The sequence below is a fragment of the Homo sapiens genome, chromosome 7 (assembly GCF_000001405.40).
Source record: "Homo sapiens chromosome 7, GRCh38.p14 Primary Assembly".
In the NCBI taxonomy this organism is placed as follows: Eukaryota; Metazoa; Chordata; class Mammalia; order Primates; family Hominidae; genus Homo; species Homo sapiens.
In genome coordinates, this window is record NC_000007.14 from 93,225,669 (window position 1) to 93,248,162 (window position 22,494).

General features: G+C 35.6%; 2 protein-coding genes across 10 annotated transcripts in view, besides 4 other annotated features; one reads left to right on the top strand and one right to left on the bottom strand.

The window, feature by feature from the left end:
- Window positions 1-6,617, bottom strand: part of HEPACAM2 (HEPACAM family member 2) — a 43,752-nt gene extending 37,135 nt beyond the window's left edge. The window contains exons 1-2 of one of the 4 annotated variants that reach the window (NM_001288804.3): window positions 700-801; window positions 215-283 (exon numbers count right to left, since the gene is read on the bottom strand). In NM_001288804.3, coding sequence (NP_001275733.1) covers window positions 215-283; window positions 700-778 — 148 coding nt within the window. In that variant the 5' untranslated portion in view covers window positions 779-801. The other 3 variants (XM_011516001.3, NM_001346642.2, NM_001039372.4) reach the window with 3 other exon arrangements.
- Window positions 6,399-6,468: an enhancer, noted in NCBI's record as "active region_26281". NCBI's record gives its function as "activates an Ori minimal core promoter by ATAC-STARR-seq in GM12878 lymphoblastoid cells {active_cell/tissue: GM12878}" and the evidence as "EXISTENCE:reporter gene assay evidence [ECO:0000049][PMID:35858748]".
- Window positions 6,609-6,778: an enhancer, noted in NCBI's record as "active region_26282". NCBI's record gives its function as "activates an Ori minimal core promoter by ATAC-STARR-seq in GM12878 lymphoblastoid cells {active_cell/tissue: GM12878}" and the evidence as "EXISTENCE:reporter gene assay evidence [ECO:0000049][PMID:35858748]".
- Window positions 6,698-22,494, top strand: part of VPS50 (VPS50 subunit of EARP/GARPII complex) — a 128,758-nt gene continuing 112,961 nt past the window's right edge. For 4 of the 6 annotated variants that reach the window (NM_017667.4, XM_011516396.4, XM_047420601.1 and 1 more), the window contains exons 1-2: window positions 6,698-6,832; window positions 14,198-14,266. In NM_017667.4, coding sequence (NP_060137.2) covers window positions 6,800-6,832; window positions 14,198-14,266 — 102 coding nt within the window. In that variant the 5' untranslated portion in view covers window positions 6,698-6,799. Of the gene's footprint in view, window positions 6,833-14,197; window positions 14,283-20,433; window positions 20,462-22,494 lie in introns of those variants that run through there. The other 2 variants (NM_001257998.2, XM_011516395.3) reach the window with 2 other exon arrangements.
- Window positions 6,869-6,918: an enhancer, noted in NCBI's record as "active region_26283". NCBI's record gives its function as "activates an Ori minimal core promoter by ATAC-STARR-seq in GM12878 lymphoblastoid cells {active_cell/tissue: GM12878}" and the evidence as "EXISTENCE:reporter gene assay evidence [ECO:0000049][PMID:35858748]".
- Window positions 7,159-7,218: an enhancer, noted in NCBI's record as "active region_26284". NCBI's record gives its function as "activates an Ori minimal core promoter by ATAC-STARR-seq in GM12878 lymphoblastoid cells {active_cell/tissue: GM12878}" and the evidence as "EXISTENCE:reporter gene assay evidence [ECO:0000049][PMID:35858748]".

Consider the following 22,494-nt stretch of genomic DNA (forward strand, 5'->3'; position numbering starts at 1 on the left):
ATGTTGACAGACAGCAGTTGGAATGCTGGAAAGAGACTCCTTTAAACTCAAAAGATAAAGAGGAGAATGAGGGAAAATATTAAGGTAGAAAAAAATTCTTAATAGGACTAGCCATTGGGCAAAGAGAAAAGCTAAAGGCATTTTGGAGTAACAATCTTTTCAAATACGTTCTCCCTTTTGTGTAGGAAATTTTTTTGTTAGTTTGGAATCTTACCTTTCTTCCATATTTCATAAGATGAGACAGATAACTTAAAACGAAGCAGTAAACAGTTTGCAACAATATCTTTAATTAAAAAGAAAACAATTTTCGTAAATTATTTGTAGTTTCACTCTAAGTGGTCACAATTTCATGGCCTATTAGAATATTTGCTGAAATAAATGCATTAAAGACTATTGAACCTATATGTAAACTCTAAAAGAAGAAATTCATTATCTTTTAAAAATATCTGAATTATCTTAATGAGTGCTATGACAATAATTGTTGTTCCAAGAAAACAATAACAATCTATTTATTGAAACTCATTTCTCTTAAATGTTCCTGCTTCTTTGCTGTAACAGTGTGTTATTGTTAAAAGGTTCTGACCTGCTCTTCAATTATCTGAATGCATCTACAGCCTAAAGCAAATATTTACCTTATGTCCACAATTAAAAAAAAAAAACCTAACAAACAGCTAAAACACAATTCACACAGGGCCTTACCGAAGAGAAGGAGGTATATTTTGCACTGAAAGACCCCAAGTGTGTCACCGAAGGGCTCCATGAAAGCATCCTGTCCCATGCATGCAGTGCCCTGTTCTCAGTGGTAACTTGGACCAGCAGCTGCTGGTTTATTTGCTAGGGAAATTAGCAGTGAGGTAACAGACCCTATCTTGCCTCTTGCTTCTGTGATTTGAATACAGAATGAATGTGTATACAAAGGACACAGGGAGTGGGAACACCTGTTATGTGCTTAGCAAGAATACAGGCTTATGGCTTTCAGAAGAGTTTCTTAGCAACTACCAGTAATTGTCTATATATTTCATAAATTATACTTAGTTATTAAAAAATCACATGAAGGAAAACATCCTTTTGCGTGACTTTACTGAAAAATGGCATGTTTTCATAATGAAAGAATATTGTGAGATTTCCTTAAAAACAAAAGCTGGTTTTCTATCATGCAGAACTATGCCATTATTATTTTAAAATTAAAAAAAATTATATGAAAATTGAAGTAGCTCATGTATCTGCTAAACAGTTATAAATCTTCATGAAGTCACTAACATGTAAAAATTCTACCAATGAATCAAAAGAGAGATCCAGAATATATTTAAAACGTATTTTTTCTATGCAGTGTTTCCTATTACAATGACTGATTTCATTTAATCTTTGAATTCATCTTATTTTTAAAAGCAAATCACAGGTGTGTTTCCAACTGGGACTGAGGCATGGACCATGCATAATTATAATGAAAAGTGCATGCCAGGAGATAGTATCTGAGGCCACATTTTCACAGCTGATGCATAGAGGAAGTGAACCAATGATCTAGAAAAGATCTTACCTCTACTGCAGTGTCCAGGTTACAGGTTTTCAACCTGGTCTCTCCATTGTCATGGCAGCAGATAGTCTAAGCATGTCCGCTTAATTTACTAAGTTATTAGTTAACCCCTATTTGCAAGAAGGCTCTGGTTCTAGCCTTGTTATATAAAATGTTAAGGATATATCCAAATCTGCATCAAATCATCAAATCAAGGAAAATTCCTTGCATGCATCAGTTTTAACAGTAAAGGCCCACTGAAGAAGTTCAATGATAAGAGGGGAAGGAAGACTATACCTCAAGCATAATTAAAGTAAAAAAGGAATGATAGTAACTTTGGAATCCAAGTTTGGAAACACTCTTTGCATTAGGGCTCTGAACTCTTCTAGAAGGACTTCTATAAGCAAAGAAAGTAAGTGACTATTGGGAAAACGAAGTCCTCTTCAGAGATCAGTCACTTTCAGATCCCTCCATGCTTCAGAAAAATGGCAAGAGCTCCTCATGCTTCCCCCACCTCCCTGCAAAATAATAACAATGCCACAACTTTCTCTGCACTGTCTCTAAATCTGGTACACACATCTATTGCAGCACTTATCTCCTTAATCTTTATTTTATTGGATGTTTATTTTCCCTCTGAGCTCTCGAATACAGAGAATAATCTTATTCATTCATGGATGTTGGGCACGTAGCATAATGCTTAACTGGTATTTTTGTTAAGTTGTTTCTCCAGAAAACAAAACTCTAAGTGCTCCTTGGCCCGTCTTACGATTCTCAGTTGATGCGTAAGAAATACAAATAAATTTTAATATTGGATTGCACAAAATACAATTTGGAAAGTAATATGGAAGTTCTACAGATATCACATAGGTTCCCCCAACATCTTTTAGATTGATATTAATCTCCAATTGCCGTTATCAAATTAGCTGTTTTCAGTGTTTTTCAATCTAGTGCTGGATTATAATGAAGTTTGTTGGGTCCCTGGCAAAAAGAGAAATAAAGACAATGTACTGTGTTTTTCCCTAGTGTTAAATATACTCAATATAAAGGAGTTTTTTATTCTGAGATTTTCTTTGTTGTATTTGAAAATATTCCCTGTTTCATGACATAAGGTGATAGTAGATGCTACATTAAAAAATAAATGCCATATGAATCTTACTTGTAATCTTTTTATTTCATGGCACATATTGAAATATAATACGGCACATCTAGGGAAAGGGCTACTGGGATAATCATGACAAAGCGCCCTCTAGTGGTAAACTGTAGATATAAACTCTTACCTGCTGGAGTAACTTCTGATTTCAACATGTTTACACAGGAAGTGAGAAAAAGAGTGCTCAAGCTTAACTTCAACAATTGTTAATTTTTACATGATTCTTAAAAATAGTTTGAAGGTTTTATAATTATAAGAATTTTCCTACCATCCATATCTCACATCACACCTGTAACCCACTGGGAAGTTCTGCTGTTATCATTCCAGTCAGGAAAAAAGGGCCTGTAGTGTTACTGTTTACCAATCTTAGTTATATTTGCATTTAAAATGAGAAGGCTGATTAACCTAAAACAATCTATATCCACGGTGATTAAACTGCAAGCAATGTAAGGAGCCACTGGGATAGAGTATGCGTGTGTGTGTCCACGTGCATTTACAATGGGATATGGACACATATACTCCTGTGCAGGAGGGTGTGTGTGTGTGTGTGTGTGTGTATGTGTGTGTATGTTTGTTGGGGGCAGGGATTTTTATTACCTCTCAAATCACACTACACAGTTTACAATCTAGTTTATTTAAATTGCAGACTGGTATTACTTCATACAGTAAATGTCTGCTGCATGCATTTCAAACATCCACATTTTTAATCACAAGTAGCTAGCACACGCATGTTTTGCAGTGGCAGAAACAATTAAGGAGAGGTGGTGAAATGCCAAGGTCAATGTAGATGCAGAACAGTGGGGAATAAGAACTGGGGAAAGAAATGTTTCTTATTGTTGTAATTAGTGGATTCTCTCCAGTTTACAGGGAGAGTTAGCTGCCAGAGGAGGCTATCACATATGCCTATGCCTGTGCTAGTGTTCACTTCTGTAAAGTCTACAAAGCTGCCTCGTGGAAGCCTTGATCTATCTTATATGGCTGCTAAATACTAAGCAGTAATGTCTTCTTCCTGGGCACCTCTTTAGGTCACTACTTTACCTTTGGCAAGTGTTCTGTTTTCTGTTATGGCCTGCTCAAGAAGTGTAGTCATATCATCTTGGAGGGGCTGCATCTCTCCACTGCTTTGGTATTTGTGGAGTGGTAAGAAATTTTATCTTTCTAATCAAACCAGGATCTCAGCTTTTATTTAAGCTTCCAGACATTCCTCCTGTTTTGGGCCATTAGTAATATGCCCTTATCCTACTTTACTACTAATCCTATTGTTCTGAATCAGATCAATTTACTTAACTCTTGGCTCTGCACTCCTTTACCAAGGAATTGGTATCCAGCCAACCTTCCCCAGGATTTGGTGGCAGACCATCTAAACTTTCCATTATTTTGCACTGGACTATCACTAACAACAGCTCTCAGGTAAATGTGAAAGTCCTGAATAAATCTTAAAAATAAATACCTTTTTGAAAATTGGAAAGGAAATAGCAGCATGTCCAACCTTTTAAAAAGTGTTTGTTAGGATGCCAAGTTTTTTGTTTTTTTGAGCGTAGACAGATAGAAATGAATAACGTAAGGTTCAATTATTTCATATAGTGTTAAGGTATGCTGAATTAGAAAATATAGTTTATTTAGACACCAGCGCTGATTTACTTTACAAGCTTTCAATATTATAGTTATAGCCTTAAAACATTTAGAAGACTGTATCCATTTTTATCCATTTCTCCAGTTTGTAGGAAATAAACTAAAATGTAGAGTTTTGGAGTAAAACAAAGTTTCAATACTTTCTTGCGTTTTCAGTGTCGAATAGATAGGGATAACACTCATTTTTCTGAATTTGGCCAATAGAAATACACATATTAGATAAAAAAAACTTTTTGGGGGGATCATCTTTAACTTTGTGTATTTGAGTATGTGAGGGAGAAAATTCCGGGGTTGAATCTGGGTTCTAGTCCTAGATCAAGCTCTCATGAAATATGTGGTCTCGAACCCTTATACAGATACGTTTTCTCATCTTTACAGCATGGATTTGACATGCTAGAGCTGGACTGCCTTTAAGAATCACTGAAGATTTTAAACAAACAAACATCCCCAAAGAAAACAACAATAATAACAGCACACACCTCAGGTGAATCTGAACAGTCAGGTTTGAGATCTACTGAACTCAGATCACCCCTAAGATATGCTTTTAAACCCAGTTGTGAACTCCTTGTGACCACAACCATAGATTATTAATCAAAGTGCTTATTTTAGTGTTGCCTTGAGCGCAACAATCAAGAAATGTTTATTGACTTGGGTTTTATTTTATAGGCTAATATGGCTGGCAGTTTTTGTTTCTTTTGATGCTTTCAGGGACTTCTAAATATTGCAGATTTTCACACACAAAGAACAGTCTGACAATTAAGATTAGAGAAGGTAAAGAATAAACTAAACTAGACTTGCCCTAAATGTGACCAGAATTTCTTGAAGGGGTTAGAAATAACAGAGTCAGAGAAGCATATAGGTAAACATATAATTTCAAAGGAATTGCTGAACGCAGTGATGATACAAGTATGCACAAGGTGGTTCTGTTGGAGTAGAGAACTGGGCAGAATCAAAACCAATAATACCTCATAATTGTATAGTGCTTTACAATTTATACATTTCATTCACCTACATCATCTCACTTATCCTTACAAAGCCCTATATAAAATATTAAAATATTACAACCTCATTTGTAAAAATTAATAAAACGAGGCTCTAAGGGGTGAGAAAATAGAATTTCAGAATCAGAAATAACCTCTGTTAGTGTCCCCCAAACTTCAGTCATTTGCAAATCACCTTTATTAGTTTTGCCATATCTGACTACCACCCATACTATTGTTTACCTAGTATTTTTTATTACGTTGACACACTTGAACTTTTTTTATTCTAAGAAATATTTTTGAAATTATGGGTCTGTGTCATACTTTTAGAAGTTAACATTATAATAAAATAAACTTAAAAAAATTGGTGCCATGCTTTAGAACTTTCTTCAGCACAATACATGAAAATCTTAACACATCTGATGACCGATTAATCCTTCAGTTTCTACTTGCACATCTGCAGTAATCTTAGGCAAGTTCCTTAATTTCGCCATACCTGCTTCGTCATCTTTAAAATGGGAACCCACAGGATTCTTGTGTGGATAAATGAAATCATATATTTAAAGCTATTAGCAGTTCCTGACAGGTACTCGGCTTTCGATAAGTGTTAGCTATCATTGTTAGCTTTAGGGCTGCTTTTTCTTCTTCTTCTCATATTCTCATAATTGTAAAGTCCTTTTAAAATTGTGTCCCCAAAGACACTTCTGTTCCTTTCCCCAATTTAACTAAACTGCCAAAAGTTGAAAAGAGGACTTTAAAGTGACAGGTATACTCGTTATTGTCGTATTTCCCGTCATCACTGCTTTAGAGTACGGAGGTAAAATAATAGGCGGGCGTCAAAATCCTTCGATTTTAGAGCTTTTGCAGGGGATACCAAGACTGAGGTAGAACAGCCCTAAACCTGGAGGGCCGCCTATTGGGCAACCTAGAGCACACCTTTCCTCAGGCCAAACCCAGCGCGCCCGGGGTAGTCTCGAGTTCTCAGGTTACCCCTCAGTGACAGCCCTTTCTTGAGTTCCTTCTCCTTCGCGTCAGTCTCTCGTTCTCCCACCCCGCCCCTCTAGACCAGGTGAGGTTTCCTCCCTCACACTCCTAGGGGACATCGCGTCAATCTGGCTTATATATTGTCTCCTCTGAGTTTGATCTTTCGCTCAACGCCTAGTCACCTGTGACTTAGGTTTCCGTCTCGCCGAAGAGTAGCTACTGCCTAGTGCAAGCACCTTTGTAAGACCGGCGATCGCAGTGGTCGCTCTGAGCAGTAATATTTACCGGCTTAACTGAAGCACCCGCTCTTTTGCTTGCTGGGAGATGTAGTCCCTGGGTTGGCCACTTTAGTTCATCGTTGCTACCGCCGGCGTCCAGAAGACTACAGTTCCCAGCAGGCCCAGGGAAAGACAGGATACCCTGGGTCGGCTCCTCCACGTGACCACCCACTATGGCTTCCTAGTGTCAGGGCCAGCTGTGTAGTGGCTCGGTGTGATTTGTTAGCTCTTTGAGGCAGGGTACCCTCCTCAGGATTTCGATATGCAAAAAATCAAATCTCTCATGACCCGACAGGTAAGTCGCGGCGGCTGAAGCAAAGGCTTCCTTCATCTCGGAAGTGAGAGGAGCCGAGATGTTCTGTCCCCAACCAGTGGCGGGCGGGGATCTAAGTTATGGGTGGTGGCAGGTGTCAGGGGGACTGGGAAGCCGGGGCATACCCTAGAAAACTCACCTGGGCCGCCTGGGTTGGAGCACTGCTCCAGCGGGTACCAGCCTCCCAGAAATATTCGTTTAAAAATAAGTCATTGAAGGAATCAGGGTATCTTTGTCTCCCCTCCTCCTCTTTTTGCCGTCTTTCCAGAACAGCCCGAGCTTCCTTGCAAGGTCTTCCGCATCCAGGCTGTCTGTCATATGCGAGCTGATAGCCTGGGTAGGGTGGTGTGGTCTGTGCAGTAGAGGTGACCTGGAAAGACTGAAAACGGATGATTTGAAGACAGAATTAGTAGCTTTTGGATTTTGGGCAAGTCCCCAAACTTTGTAGCTTACGTTTCTGGATGTGAAAATAATTATTTTTGTTCATTTTACTTCACAGTTCTGTTATGAGGGTCATCGATAAGCTAATATATGTGAAAACTCTTTGTGAAATTCTGCTTTAAAAAATTTATTTTTGTCATGGCAAAATACTGATCTTTTCTTTTTTTTCCCCAGAATGGAAATTCATGAATAAGAGCTTTGGCTATTTTGTAACCTGTCTCATAAATGTTAGGGACCTCGTAATAATGCCTCAGCTTCATTTAAGAAGTGCAGAAATTTTCTTTTATGTACTTATTGATTATGACTTTGTTTTAGCTGCCTTTATTTACTTCAGCTTTAATATTTCACTAGAATTGGTCATTTTATTATTTTAATATGAAAGATAGTTAAGATTAGAGTTTTAAATCAACATGGCTTTTAGAAGTTTGGAGAATGTGGAAGGTAATCGTTTAGTGAAAGGTATATTTGTGAGTTTTTTTCTTGTTGATTACAAAAATAACTCAAATTCCACATTCTTATTTGAGAATTCACAATTTGAGAGATATATAAACAGGATACAAATTGTGTATTTCTCTTGCACAATGCACAAATGACCCTTACATGATTATTTTAGTTATGTCAGAGCATTTTGTTAATGTTATGAAAATATAATCAAAATGTTCTGTGAATAATAAAAATATTTAAGTAAGTGGCTAGTAACATTTGTTAATTCCTCACATGTGTTGAGTACTGGTGTTGTGCGTCCTACTACTTCTTACTTGACGATGAGTTTGGGTCCTGCTGTATCCTGTGGCAGCTGTGTGACTTTCGGCAAGTTACATAACGTTTTTAAGCATCTATTTCCACATCTTTAAAATAGGAATAATGTGTGCCTTATGGAGTTAGCCTGATAGTGGTGTTTACATGATATAATGAAGTTAAAGAGTTTAAGGCGTTAACGGAGTTCCTGGGCATTATCAAGGAAGTGCTTGAACGCAGAGACCGTTAGTTACATTGGCTATGTTGATGGTGGGAAAGCAGGAAAATTGGAAGCAGGCTGTTGCAGTAATTCAAGCAATAGATAAGTTCATGCTGACTTCGGTACCTGTTTGATTTTTAAATCAATATATACTTTTGTACTTTATATCACTAATACCTCTAAACTGCCTTTGGAATGCTGAATTTGGACTTTTGTGCATCAGCTGTTTGATGCTGTCTCAAGTTTGTTGCCTGCCATACAGTTCAGTGTAGTTAACGTTGTCATAATTGTATGGTAGCTGTGGTTGGTTTAGTTTTTTTGACCTCATTTTGTAAAACTGAGGAGAGAAAAAAATTTCAGATAGCAGTGATAAGTGTATGTCTCCTAAATGTAATGCAATTGTGCTGAAAATGGTAACACTTAAGCCTTAGTCAGTTGCTTATTGAATTTCAGCAGGTCAAACCTGTGTTTAATTGAAATGGAAAAAAATACATTAAAGAACACATACAAAAAGCTGGAACCATACTGTGTACAAAGTGAGGTAAAATTAGGAGTTTTGCATACATATTTAAAGTTATCCTAATTATATATGTTATGGCTTGACTTTCACATATTTGATACTGATGCACAGTTCCTGAATCTATGAGGTATGAAATTAGTGTGCCTGCTATTTACATTGAGGGTTTGAATTAGTACAGTTTATTATTGGGTTAAATTTAATAGGATTACAAGTAAGTATACATGAAAGTATTTCTTTTTTTGAACCTATAGAATGTGCTAATAATATATATTGAGTTAATATGGAGAGATAGGAAATTAAGGTCTGTGAAATTTAAGCTTTGGGACATTTCAGCTGTCCTGGGATCTTTGTTTGCAAAATAATGGGAGGAAGGAAGGCTTTGTTAGCTCTCTTTATTTAGATGAGATCTGTTCTTCATCTTTCTCCATCATGCTCACCTCTGTTCTTTCAGTCCATTCAACAAATGTTTATTGAGCAATTTGTGCCAGGTACTATTCTAAGTAAAAAAAAAAAAATAGACAAGTGTTAAGGCAGACACGGTGATAAACACTGTAGAGGAAAAGAGGATAGAAAGTCCTGGGAATTGTTGGTGATTTGAGGTCACTTATAATTTTAGATAGGATGGCCACGGAAGGCCTCACAGAGAAGGTAATATAAAAAAACCTGAAGGGGGTGAGGAAGTGAACTCTGTGAGGTAGATATTTGGGAAGGAGCATTTCCAGTGGAAGGAAAGGCAAATGCAGAGGTCCTGAGGCAGGAGCTTGTTTGAGAAATTGCAAGTGGCCTGTGTGGGTGAAGTGAGTGAGGAGAAGAGTAGTGGGAGATGAGGTTAGGATGAGGTTAGATGACTGAAGGCAGGAAGCTAGATCATGTAGTACCTTATAGGTAATAGCAAGGTCATGGCTTTCATTCTGAGTGAAATGGCAAATAGAGGAATGATATAATTGGACATAACACTTCAGACAGACCATTTGGACCCATGTTTTAAGAACAGATTGAAGAGCGGAAAAGAGCAAAACCAGGGGAGGTGAATGATGAGGCTACTGTGGTAATCCAGGTGAGAGGGTGGGTGTAAGCCTTCCACCCTAGTGGTGGAAGTGTTGAAAGAGGTCAGACTGTGAATATGCTGTAAATGTAGAGGTGACAGAATTTCCTGACAGATTGGGTTTGGGCTGTGAGGGAAAGAGAAGCATCAAGGATGACTCAAAATAGTTTGGCCCTAGCAATTGGAAGAATGTAATTGCCATTTCCTCGGATGGATAAAACTGAGGGAGGAACAGATTGAGGGAAGGGACATGGTTTTTGGACTTGTTAATTTGAAAGCCTCTTAAATATTCAACTGGAGAGATACAGCAGGCAGTTGGCCAGATGAATCTGAATTTATGGGGCGAATCCAGGGTATAGCTGAAACTCTGGGAGTTACAAACATGTAGATTGCATATAAACTGGTTAAGATCACCAGTGGAATGAGTGTAGATATACAAAGAATCTAAGGTTGGAGCTTTTGAGAATCCAGTGTTAAAAACTCAGGGGGAAGTGGTGGATCTAGGAAAGCAGAATGAGAACATGCAGCTTGTGAGGTAAGAAGTCTTTAGCTTCCTGAATGGCACCTGGAATATAGCAGATGCTCAATAAATATTTGTTGCATGAATGTGGGATGAAGAGAACAACCAAGAAGACTGCCTTGAAGCCAAGTAAAGAATTTAAAAGAGTAAGGAGTGATTAGCTGTGTTAAATGCTGCAGATTGGTCAAGTAAGGTGAGAGTGAGAATGAGAAATGTGCTTTTGGATTGAGCAGCGTGGAGGTCCTTGGTGCCCCAACTACAGCAGTTTTCATGAAGTTGTGGGGAGGAAAGCCTGATTAGAGTGGGTTCAGGAGAAAATAGGGGGAGAGAAATTAGGGACTGGGTGTAAACACTCTTGAGTTTTGCCGAAAGGAGAAGGAAACACAAATCATCACAGATGCTTCTTTGGATGGATAAGACATAGTTGCTGGTTTCGTAAATGGAAAATGAGGATTAATGTAGACATAACTGAAGTAGTCTGAAGTGTTAATCTGATTTGGGTAAATGAAGAGGCGAGTGTTAATTTATGCTGAATTTTCTATATGTCTAAACTGGGGAATTATCAACACAAACATCAAATACAAAAGAAAATCAAATAGTGGTTAATGATAGCATCAAAGTGTTAATAAAGGCAGAGAACTGTAGTTAAAACCATGACTTCATGCTTTAGAGAGATGAAGATAAAATAAGAATGACTTCATTTGTTAGTAGAAGTTTATAAAACTGATAAAGTGTTAAAAATCTGTAATTCTAAAGTACAGTTGAATGTCAGATGTGCTTTGAGACATTTATGTAATTCTTCATTTCTGTTTTGATAAAAGGAAAGCATTTCTGTCATAATAAAAATATTAAGAATTATGGTTAATCATCACAGAATGCTTGAGATATATGAGACAGTATTTTTGGCTTCTCACATACATGACCTCTTTTACTTCTTTTTTTTTTTTTTTTTTTTTTTTTTTTTTTTCGAGACAGTCTCACTCTGTCGCCCAGGCTGGAGTGCAGTGGAGCGATCTCGGCTCACTGCAAGCTCCGCCTCCCGGGTTCATGCCATTCGCCTGCCTCAGCCTCTCAAGTAGCTGGGACTACAGACGCCCGCCACCACGCCCGGCTAATTTTTTTTTTTTGTATTTTTAGTAGAGACGGGGTTTCACTGTGTTAGCCAGGATAGTCTCCATCTCCTGACCTCGTGATCCGCCCGCCTCGGCCTCCCAAAGTGCTGGGATTACAGGCGTGAGCCACCACGCCCGGCCTGTTTTACTTCTTATAATAGCCTATGAATGATCATAGAATATAATGCACAGAAAGGATAGATAAGTTGTTCAAAACCACAGCAAGAAAGTCAGGATACAAACTCAAGTGGTCTGCTCCAGAGCCCATTGCTATAATCACTTCACTCTACATCCTCCTAACATGTACACGGGTTTTCAATTTGTATTACTTTTATTTTGTACATTTGGCAGAAATTTGCCGTGTATTGGTATTGAATTGTTGTGTGGTGACTACTTTTTCTAGATATTGGTATATATCACGTTTACATTTCAGGCATTGGTTTCTTTACGGACTAGCTCTGGGGAAAGAGAAATTAAATATGATATATTTCTTCAGGGATTTCTGTTAGATTAGTTAAGCAAATCTATACAGATGGTCCCCGATTTACTATGGTTTCACTTAATGAATTTTTGAGTTTATGATGGTTTTATTGAGATTATTAAATGTATTTTCCACTTATAATGGGTTTAAAAATTTTTTTTATTTTTAGTTCAAGGGTACCTATGCAAGTTTGTTCTATAGGTAAACTCGTGTCACAGGGGTTTGTTGTACAGATTATTTTGTCACCCAAGTATTAAGCCTGGTACCCAATAGTTATTTTCCTGATCCTCTCTCTCCTCCTACCCTCTACCCTCAGGCAGTCTCAGTGTCTGTTTTCTTCTGTATGTTTCCATATGTTCTCATATGATGGGTTTATTGGAACATAACCCAATTGTAAGTCGAGGAGCATGTGTACTTTGAAAAATGTTTGTTTAAAAGACATGGCAATTACATTTTAAAAATATATTTTAGGGGTGGTCATGATTTTGAATCAAATTGGGAAGTTTTACTTTCATGTGTGCATATATAATGTATATAGAAGTGTAGTTTGGTAACTCAGCCTTGCCTTCTTTACCAGTTTTGATGCTATTCCCTCATGACTGTTGGTGAGAATTCGAGACAGGGAAGAACAAACCGCCCAAGACTAGTAACATACTATTTTTCTCCCTCACTCATTGAAAGGCATATTAAACCTCCTTAGGCCTTTTTTTTTTTTCCAGCGAGCATTCCTAGAAATTTTTTTGCAGTCAATTACATGTTCCCATGGGAACAATGCGCTAATTTGTGGGAGATTGGAGCCTGACCAATGACTTCTACCTAATAATTTACTCATTTCTTTGTTGTTTACTCTGTTTCTGGAACTTTGCTAGCCACTGGGCTGCAGAGGCAAATAGGACTTTGTCTCTCCCTTTCCTTAGGACTTAAAGTTTGGAAGAGAAAGATATATTTAAAATTTAAAACTTTACTACTTTGGCTGAGGTATTGTCTTGGAAGATGTCTTACTGAGGTATTGTTTTGGGAAAATGCACATTCCTGGCCCAAATCTAGAAAAACCTATTCATTAGGTTTATTTTAGGGCCTAGGAATCTTACTTTTAACAAGTTCCCTGGGTGGTGTTGATGGACATGATCCAAGGGTTATACTGAGAAATACTGTGTTCTTTGGAGCATAGGGATTTAGGAAGACTTTGTAGAGGAGATAATTCTGAAAGTGATGTATTGCTTTCTCATTTCTTGGAGTGGTAAGTGTGCCTGAGAGAGGGAGACGGGGAGAGAAGGGTGGGTAGGTTAGATATTCTGGGGGTAATGGAAAACTTGCGGTTGAGGCAGAGCACTTTGTAATAAAAAATTTTAGATATGACTAGTGGTATTTTACAACAGGGAAGAGAAAATACACATCTCTGTAGTTTAAAGATAAGCAAGTTCTGCTCTGAGTCTCAAATAGTCAACATAAGCATACCATATATTTTGGTTACTAAGGATCCCCAATATAGGGCACCTAAAGGACAATTTGTATCATAAATCTCTCCTCAAATTAATAATAGCTAATTTTGCCTAAAAACTAATATTGCAGGGACATTAAATGTCTGCTTCGAATAGCCTATTTTTAAAAAGAGGATTTTAAAGAAAATGTAAATTGCTGATTTCTTTCTATTTTAATAATTTCCCCTGGTACAAATAAAGCTTTCAGAATCCCTCAGTTGATGTGAATATAGAAAGTACAGGGCACCAAAGAACTAAAGGACAGGTAAAAGACAGTGAGATATGAGACTTCAATCTTAATTTATGCAGCATGAATTGGATACATTGGTGGGAAATAATCAAGTAAAATGAAGGGATTACTTATATGTTAGCTTAGTTGGTTAGTATATTGTATCTGTGAATCATAATACTATTGCTTGGACTTTTTTCCTGATGGATTTAGTAATTATTATTGTATATACAAGTGGCTTTTATAGAATGCTTTTTGTTATGTAAGTTTCTTTACTTTTGGCTGTTTTCAAATCATAGATGGGTTGGACTTCTACCATTAGTTGTGAAGTTGCCGTATAATACTCTTTTATTTTAAAATACCAAAAGTACACCCTTCTCTGATTTAATAATAGTACTATATGTATTAAATGATGATTGCTTTTAGAATATATCTTCCATATTTTGAAGCAGGAAAATTTCTATTTTTAAAGTGGTCATTTCTGTTTCAGTAGGTGTATTCTATCCTTTTATAATTCTTCAGCATGATTAAAATTTTCCTCATCTTATTATTTTTTTAAGGGTCTGAAAAGCCCTCAAGAAAGCCTCAGTGATCTTGGTGCCATAGAGAGTCTCCGGGTCCCTGGAAAGGTATTGAGCTACACGTGTGAGCGTGACTTTTTACTTCCTTAAGAAAATATGATTGCCTCTGGATAGTAATTGATTCACAGAAGCTTTTCTTTCCCACAGGCAGATGGTTGTTAAGATAAGCTAGGTAAATTTTTATTGTATAGTAGGTGTAGGGCTTGTTTCATTACACGTTGGGATGCAGTATGTATGATGCATTATAGCAAAGCAAAAAATGCAAACTTGATAAATTTGGAATTTATTATATTAAATTCTTAGCCTGAAAGCAGTTGTATATATGTGTATGCACACACACACACACACACACACACACACACACTCTCTCTCTCTCTCTCTCTCATTGATTTATCTGCTGTAATTTGTAGAAATAAAGTGAAATAGTTGACTACTGACTTTTTATACTCCTAACATTCTGTGCCAAAAATCATGATTATATTTTTGTTGTGGAGCAGAGGTTTTTGAAAAAGCATCTAAACCATAGTATTTATACTGAATTGTATAACTTATCTCCTAGATTGTAGGTATTTTAGATTTTAATCCTCTGATATTCACGTGAATTTCTCAGTTTACAAATTTTATATAGGTTATTTGAAAGCTAGCTAGATTCCCCTTGGAATTATTAAGTATTGTTAAATCCCTGCTGTTTTTCTGGAGTGTTGCTGCTTGGAGCTGCCCATGTGAATAGCTGCTCCATCACAGATTAAGCTGGCACTTCTGAATGTCTGTTTTTGTATTTTTTAATTTGAGAGTGATACGTGAAAATACTGTTTGTTTTCTGCATCAGGCATTTGAATACACAGGGTGTGCTTCTCTTGATCAGCAGTTTAAGGCCTCTCCTTACACCTCGGTGTCAGCTCCTTAGGAGGATGATTTCTCATCTCTTTCAGGTGCCTTACCTGCTAAAGTGAATTTTGTATTTACTGCATTGTTTTTATTTTGGGTTAGGCTGAAACATATTCTCCAAATGCAATAAAATTATAACCAACCCTTTTGCATGAAATGGTTCAGACAAAAACTTAAGAAAAGCATTCCGTATAGTTTTATGTAATGTTATTAAAAATTAATGACTATGAAAAGGTTGGGAAACAAGAGATAGCCATAAATCCTAATTAATTGACAATAATTCTCTTTATTTCTTTGAGTTAAGAAAAAGATTATCATGCATTATGAACATACCTTGAATTAGATTGTATTACATATTGCAGAATCAATGTCAAATTGATGAGTGAGCCTCTTTAAAAAAATACATTACAGTCTTAACAAGAACTTTCTGTTGTGTTTCCACCATGAGCCATGATGTTTTCCCAGTACTGGTTGGTAGTGAATATGGTGATCTCATTACAAAGTCTTCTTATTAAATGTACACCCCTAGCTCCATCAGTGACCAGTGCTGTCTGTACTTTTAGGATAACTGGCCTTGGGTGGAGTGGCCAGTCTGGGATCACAAGGTCAGCAAATATAAATGGTTCAGGTGAAGAGTAAGCCTAAAGCACTGGTCTCTTTAGCACATACTAAGAAGCTAAGTTAGTTAAATAATAAAACAGTTAATAGTAAAAAATGTATTGATGCTATAAGCTTACATTTAACCTTACACTAAGAAATCCCTACAAGCTTCATCTGCCTGTTTGTTTTTTCTGTGTTCTCCTATAGCATAACAAATGATGGAGGGTGAGCAGAGCTTCTGCCTTCTTTCTGGGTGGTTCTGAGAACATGAGAGTTGCTGGGTCCAGAGAGTGGCAAAGCTCCAGTCAGTAAACTGAGTCTTTGGATGAGGTTTGAAGTCAGTACTGAGATCAGGAGTTAAGAAGACTCATATTCAGAAATTCCCTACACAGCATAGCTTGATGTAGCTTTAATGTTCAGTATTTTTTCACAATTTAGATAAGACTTTATACTTAGATCATAACACATATATTTTAATGATTTATTTTTGTATAATTGCTTTGAAATTAATGTTGTTGCTAGTTCTTGATGACCTGAAATTTGATGTAATTGAAGAAGATCTTTAAGATCTTTTAAAATTAAGATTAAAAGCATTTTAACAAAATGGAAAATGTTAATTCAAATGATTATTTTGAAATAACTTTTGCTTTAAATATAAAATTAATGTATGCTCTAAACAGAAAACATGGTAAACGGAAAAAGGTATCTTAAAAAAAAAATCACAAAAATCACCAACACTGTCAAGGTTAACATTGCCTACTGGTCTTTTCCCTATGCATATTCCACAAATTTATTGAGTTTCTATGTGCTAGAGATACTTTCTAGGGATTGGCAGTATAGCAGTGAAAAGACAAAAGTTCTCTCCAAAAGTCAAAACTTCCCTGCTGTCAGACAGCGAGCTTACATTCAAGCAGGGGTAAGGCGATTACAGATTATAATACTGTGAAGGAAACAGGGCGATGAGATAAACTCCTTGAAATTGGCAGTTATTTTACAGGAAGTAGTCAGTATAGCTTTTTATAATGGTATTATAAGTTATACAACCTTTTAAAAATGGTATCATACTCTAGAAATTATTTGGAAGCTTGGGTTTTTAACTTGGTGATATATATATATATATAACATAGAAAATTCTCACAGTATATTCTAGGTTTAAAAAGCAAGGTACCCATTAGTTTTGCTTAGGGGAGTACTCTTTGAACTTAACAATTTGTGCTATTTAAGTAGTCACTGTTAATTCTTATATGGAAAACTTATAAACATTAACTTCATTTAATAGCTCTGCCTCACTTATAACTGTAGGTACAACTTTTAAAAAACATATGCCTGGTCTTCAGGAATCGGCTCCTTTCTTTTCATAGTATCTTTCTAAGTTAGGACAGGGAATTGAGAGATTTCAGTGGCATTTTCAAGAAAGAAATAGGTTAGTTTGGGTTCTGTTACATGAAAAGGTTCCAGTATAAAGGATAAGTAGGAGAAAAATGTTAGGATAAATGATGGCTGTTTAAGTTTAAAATGGTCAAATATTGGCAAATTGTATGTGCTTCAACTTGCTAGAAAAAGGAGGGTAGTGAAGGAGAACTGAAGGGCACTAGGTGTGCTTGATAAGCCAGATGGTATTATTTATTTATTTATTTTAGAACTATATAAATTCAAAGTGGGAAGAAACTGTATAAACCATCTGGTACAATTTCTGCATTTTATAGACAATCTGATCCTGTGCCCGATTTTAAGAGCAGATGCAAGTCAAATGGTAATCTATATACTGGAAATTTGGAATTTGGGTGGATAAAATAGTATAGAAAAGTAGAAAACATTTAAGGTTCTTTTCAGAACTTGCTAGAGGAAAGGAAACTTTTAGACAGATTTCAGGAATTTTAGCTTAAATAGCTCAGAGCCAAGATCAGTGGTGCCCAAACTTTGCTGTACATTTAGAATCAACAGTCCCCAGGCCATGGCCAATTCCAATTAAATCACCGTTTTTGGGTGGAGGCAAGTGTCAGTAATATTTAGAGATTCCCTGGTAATTCCAGTGTAGAGCCAGGTTTGGGAACCAATGGCCAAGATGAGAATATTATCTCAAGAATGGAGCAACAGGAAATAGAGGAACTGTTCTAAAAAATTGTTTGGAAGTTTTACTGAGAATTTTTGTAGAATAAGATAGAATGACCTAAAATTTCATTCTTCGAAATGGATTCTGTTATGTTTCAAATTAGTGGGATTTTCATGCAGAGTTAAAGATATAAGAAATTAGGTAGTATTTTCTAAGTTTGTTAATCCATTTAAACATGAAAGGTATTTTACTTAATTGGTTACAAGAATTAAGAATACAACTAGTATTTGTTATAATATATGATAGTAGAGCCACAACGTTATTAGTTATAGAACTTATTTGGACTGTGTTTGAGAGTATTTGTTGAACCCTGATTAAAAAGTAAAAATACCAGTATTCAGAACCTTATAAAATCTACATCCAGCCTTTATTAATATACACTTTCCATAGTACTTCCACAGTGGCACAATGTGAACCTGAAAAAGAGTATTGATACTAATATTGTTTTACGAGTTTTTAGTGAAGCATTGCCTCCTCATAGTATTCTTTAATGATAAGGGGGTTTTTTTGGCCTCAATTTAATTAACTCATAAATAGTAATGGGATTCAGCTGTCTTTACTTTTACATGATTGGTTTACCTTTGATTTTTTTTCGTGAAAGAAAAATATAGGATGAGGTGACAAAATAAATGTCTGTTGCAGTCAACATTTGATAATATAATTGTTTAAGGATAAGAAATAATTTTTTTATACTTCATCCATTCAACAAATATTTATTGAGTACCTGCCTACTCTGAAGCATTTCTACTTATATAAATTCTAGGAATTTGAGCAGAATGTTTTCTAGAGTTTCTAGTACTTCTGTGAAATCAGATAAACCGATTTGACTTGACTTCTTAAAATCCATTAAAAGAATCCTAAAACCACCTGCTAACTGCAGAGCTTGGTTTACAGTTTTACCAAAATTTGTGGAGAGTGTGCTTGAATCACAGTCAAGAGACATAGGTTGAAGTATTGACTTAAACATACAGCTTGTTGAAAGGAAGTCATTTTAATGCTTTGTGCCTCAGTTTCTTCATTTGTGAAAAGATGCTATTGAACTAGACTTTTTTGGAATCCTTTTTGCTCGAATGTTTTATACTTTCTATATTGTAATTTTTGTAGGAGAAATATGACACAAGAAATATACATTCTAAATAATTTTTTGAGCAGTTTTTGTTAGAAGATTTGCATATTGGTGTCTGTATTAGAGAGGATTAGTATTGAGGTTTATGACTAGGTGAATTTATTTAGTGATCATGATAAAGACTTTCAATTTAGGATTATGTATCATTTAGGACAGGTGTCTTCTGCAGGTGGTACTAAGGGAGACTCTAACTATGGATCTGCAAAATCATTTAAGAGTTTTTCTTAGGTGCTCATGGCTAACAGTATTTAGTTGTGTTCTTTTTAACCATTAATGAAATTATGCTTCTCATAGCTTCAGATGCTTTGAGATTCTTAACCCTTCTTTCATAGCAAATCATATAAGTTCATTCATACAGTCCATTTGGCAAACACTTATGGAACCAGGCAGTTACTAATCATTGAAGATGCAGAGAGGTACAAGACTGTTCCTAACTCAACCTGAGTGGGGGAGACAAGCAAAAATAGATAATTGCAGAGGAGTAGAGGCACAACAGAGTTCAGCTAGGAGAGGATGTGGAGTAGGTAGAAATGTATTCAGGATCTTTTAGAGTTGGCGATTAATTTTTTTAAGAAAGATTACAGTTTTATGGGGTGAGTTGTTGAGTAGAGGTTGGGGACAAGGATACTGATTAAGAAGAAAACAGGAACATAAGGTATAGGAAATGGAGAAGGGTTGCATTGGAAGGACATTTAAAAAGCAGAATTTAAGATTGATGATTTTATTGGATTTGGAAGGTGGAAGAACCTGTGAAAGGCACTGGGATTGAAGGTGCTGTGATGTTGTCTTTTCTCAGAATAGACAGTATTGTTTTCTTTTAGAGAAAGTGTCTGATGAGATGTTCGAAAACAAAAGAAAAACAAAATTAAGATGTACACACTCGATTTTTCTCTGTATATCTTGATTTATGATGTGTCTTTTCTTCAGTGTTAGCCCCAGAAAGGACAGGCATGTGACACATATTAAAATACATCATCTTAATCACTTGATTGTGTTATAAAGCTGGATTAAAATGTGATCCAATAACCTTTTATTAAAATGTTCTATAAATCATTTTGCCCAAAACCTCTTTTTAAATTGTAACTTCAACAGTATTCCACTAGATGGCACTAAAAGCCTGAAGAAAAACAGGGTAGGCTTTAAAAGATAAGTTTATTTAAAATGCACACAGAAACTGATGAACCGGCTATCTTTGACGGATTATTATTGTTGTTCTAGTGGGATTTTAGGAGAACGTGCCATTTCCTCATGTAATCAGACATCTGGCCATTCATTATAAACTTACGTGGCATGTGGTTTTAGGGTATCTGTGATCTTGAAATAAGTTTTGAATCCTGTTTCATTTGGAAAGAGATAAAATCTATTTCTGTTCAGTGATTAATGACTTTTGTAATACTGACTGAATATTGAAAACTTCATGTTTTGTTCTTACTTCTAGCTCTGTTTAGATTTTGGTCACTAAACGCTTCTTTTTTTTTTTGCTTTCAGTTAGAGCCCTAACGTGATGTTAACTTTGGTAAGATTATAGCTTCCGTTTTCCCTATAACAGAATAGATTTTTTATGTTGACGAATGAAGAAATGCAAACAGTAAAAAAAAGTCTTTGATCAAAGATTTGCTGTGGCAAACCGCAAATCATGCTTGTAAAATTTCTCCACTTTCCTTCTCAACACACACACACACATACACTGCATTCTGCCATTGAGTTATATAATCAGCTATATAAGCACTATATTCTGCCACTGAGTTATATAATCAGGTGTATAATGTGGACTGGTCTAATGAGCTAAGTACAGAAAGAGGAGTTGGTGTGCATTTCATTTTTTATTCTATATATTTTTTTCAGAGTTTTGAAATCTGACCTGTGAAGTAAAGATTTGCATTCATATTTTTGTTTGAATAAAAACTAGTACTGAAGATTATGAGATTCCAAGCTGTTATGTGGGTTTAGAAATTAGGTTAAATTACTTTTCAAAATTGCAGAAAATATTGAGTTTAATAATGGTAAGGAAAACTGTTAAGCTGTCATAACTTTTTATAAAAGTGAATAGAATTAAGAGCCCTGAATTTGGATTAGTATTTTTAATTAGTGTGGTATTTTAGATAATTTAAAAGTAGTGATTAAATACAAAATTAGTAGTCTCTCTTTTTTTCCTCCTAAACTTGAATATATTCCCTTGAGTGATGAACTCTTAAGTGGAAAATTTTTTGGTAAAGTTATAGCCTAGTTCCTTAGAAACCACAAACATACTGGGAATGTATCATAATACCTTACATTTGAGGGCTCAAATTGTTTTACATAGCTGAATCCCCAATTCCCATAATACCTTTTTTGTTGTATTGAGAGGAAAAGTAGCTTTGCTAAATCAAAGATGTTGACTTAAATCTCTAATATGATTGTTTTTCTTCACTTTTCATAAAGTTATATTTCTGATGTACATTTATGTACATGTTCATGTAGCTTTATCTCAGACATGATCAAAATAGAAAAATAGACTAGGTGGTATTATATGCAACCTTATTGCATGTTGTGACTGCTGGAAAAACACAGCCTCTAAAACGTTGAATTCTGCTTGGTTTATTACATTAAGAAAATATTGAATATTTTTGCCTGTTTTTGATATAGCCTAACCTGAGGCAGTGATATGTGTTAAGATGTTTTACTTTTAGTGAAGAAAATATGGTTCTAATATACAAAAAATATGTTGAATTTAAACAAATCTCAGTTGTTGCATTTGTCTTTTGGCATACATGCAGACTCTCCCTTGTGACATTTTTCTATCCTGCGGAAGCCACCCTTTATTGCTTTAACCTGTTGTGCACTTTCTCGATTCAATATTTTTACTTTTGCTTTGCTTTATATTTGTAACCCTATTCTCCCAATTTCTAAATCTGAAATTCTACCTATTCTCTCATATTTTCCAAATGCCACCACTTCCATCAGATGTGAACCCACCGTCTGATGCCTTCATTCTGTTTGCATCACCCTCATGTTCTGCTGTGCATTGTCATTGCTTACTTATTCATCTGACCCCTCCTATTATTTTAACAACTGTTTGAGGGAAGAGCTATATTTTACTCATTTTCGTTCCTGTATGACCTAGTATGGGAAATTTTTACATAATGGGAATTTAAAAAATTGTTAAATGAAATTTGTTTTTTAGGGGAAGATAAGGTTATAGAGCTTTGAAAGTAGGCAGGTTAGTTTCTAATGATAGTATGGGAGAGAGATTTGATTTGTTCATTTTTTGCCTTTTATGCTTTTGTTTTCTCCTCTTTGTTATTCCAATTCATTACTTTAATTGTAGTTTTTTTCTCCAGCTTTAATTCTGGGGTAATGCTGATAATACTTTTTGCTTAGTTGATTACCATTGACAGCAAGTTGTGTGGCAGCACATTTGGTAGCCTGTAGTTGACAAATTATTTTTGGACTTTCAAGTTTTAGAGAGCATTTATATCACTATTAATGATACTATGTATTTATTAATTATTATGTGACATAAAATTTATTATAAAAATATTTTAAACATTTTTAAGACTGAAATATTTT